The 1,670-nt window shown below is 34.6% G+C and overlaps 1 protein-coding gene across 9 annotated transcripts in view; it reads left to right on the top strand.

The window, feature by feature from the left end:
* The window catches only part of CDH18 (cadherin 18), a 1,104,418-nt gene that overhangs the window by 273,710 nt on the left and 829,038 nt on the right, over positions 1-1,670 (top strand). The window lies entirely within an intron of this gene.

Raw genomic sequence — 1,670 nt, 5'->3', positions numbered from 1 at the left:
TAGTAAGCAAAAAAATTTGTTATGCCATCTTCATTATTCAAATTACAGACTGAAGATATGGCCAGTTTTTAAAGTAGTTGAGATTATGTTTTCCATGGAAGGACAAGTCTGACTGTTCATGGGCTGATTTTCTTTAAAAGGATTATTCTATTTTACAATTTCAATTCTAGATCACATTTTATATGTGCTGCATGCCAAAAAAAAAAAAAAAAAAGAAAAAAGAAAGAGCAAACTACCTTTTCTGGTGTGGAGGGGAAGAAAAACTAATATTCTACATTACTAGTAGAGTTCAAAACAAGTTTTCACTGAGAGCCTTTTCAGTAAAAGTTAAACAAGTTTGTTTTTTGAGCATTTGTCAGTTGTTCTATTTCAGAAGAGTCAAAATTCAAGCACAATACATTTTGAAGGCTTTGCAAACTCCTAAACCCCTGATGAGTCCTCTCATTCTGGAAGTGGGAATTTGAGTAGATACTGATTTGTCCCGTAGTATGGTAGATGATGGGGAGGTCTTTTCCAATCAGGCACTCAGAACGCAGGCCACTGTATGTTCTCAACCAGTAACAATCATACTGAGGATGAAGGACTCTCCCTTTGATGCAGACACAATTGTAATGGAGATGTAAAACTTCTTAGCAATCAGATGGATAAATGGTTTGCTTTTTACTTTAAATAGGAAATTGTTTTCTAAAACTAAAATACTTGAATTGTCAGACAATATAATCTCAGCTTGTATTAGTTTTTGAATGCTCCCATCAAGGAAGTGTAACAATCTGTGAAATGTGAATAAATGAAAAGTAAAACAAACAAACAAACAAACAAAAAAACAAAAAAACACTGTCTATACAATTACTCTGCTCTGACCTTGTAAGGAAGCAAGTGTATGCTTCCCAAAAGATGCTCATTGAAAAAAAGACACAATAGAATAGAAAGTCTCCCATAAAGATATTAGAATAACATCAGCCTATCTTTAATAACCCGTTCACCCCTCTTTTGTTCAGGCTCCAAAGAAATTCTTCTAGTTCATCCCCTCCAATTTTTTTTAAAGTGAATGATATGTGCTCAGGTTAATCTTGGAGACTTTATCTTTTATTTTTTACATATTCCACAGGACAGTTAATTCTTTCTGTGGCTATACAGGTGAGATAGGGAAAATGCTATGTTTTAAAATAAGTTGACTTGTTCAAACTATTTTAGTGAAAATGATTCTTATAGAAAGTTTGCACATGACATATACCTAGGACTATTGGGTGTTAGGAAGTAATATCAATTTAGCAAGGAGCAGTTCAAAAGCATAGCCCTCCCATAGAGTCAATGTTCTATTTATTAGATCAGGGAGGTGAGCCTGTTGTGAAAATGAAGACAGCCTGAGGAGATTTCATATTCTCTTGATGATTGACCGATTTATTCTTAAGGATATGGGGAATCTCAACACCCGGGGGCTACATGAAAATGTTCTTTCTCTCACCTTTTATGAACAGTAGTATCTTGAAAGCAATTCTAACCACAACGTGCCCTAAAAAGTATGTTAAAATTGTCTTCCCCAAACCTAGTGGGACATGAGATCCTGGCTAGAAAAAAAAGTACATCCTGGTCTTGTTAATGTGGAGACAGACAGCAGGAAAAACGAGAGAATGACTAATGTTCAAATGCATTATTTTCCACAGGAAAAT

This window comes from Homo sapiens, chromosome 5 (assembly GCF_000001405.40).
Source record: "Homo sapiens chromosome 5, GRCh38.p14 Primary Assembly".
Taxonomy (NCBI): domain Eukaryota; kingdom Metazoa; phylum Chordata; class Mammalia; order Primates; family Hominidae; genus Homo; species Homo sapiens.
Note: the sequence above shows the minus strand (reverse complement) of the source record. Positions and strands in the feature narration are given on the sequence as shown.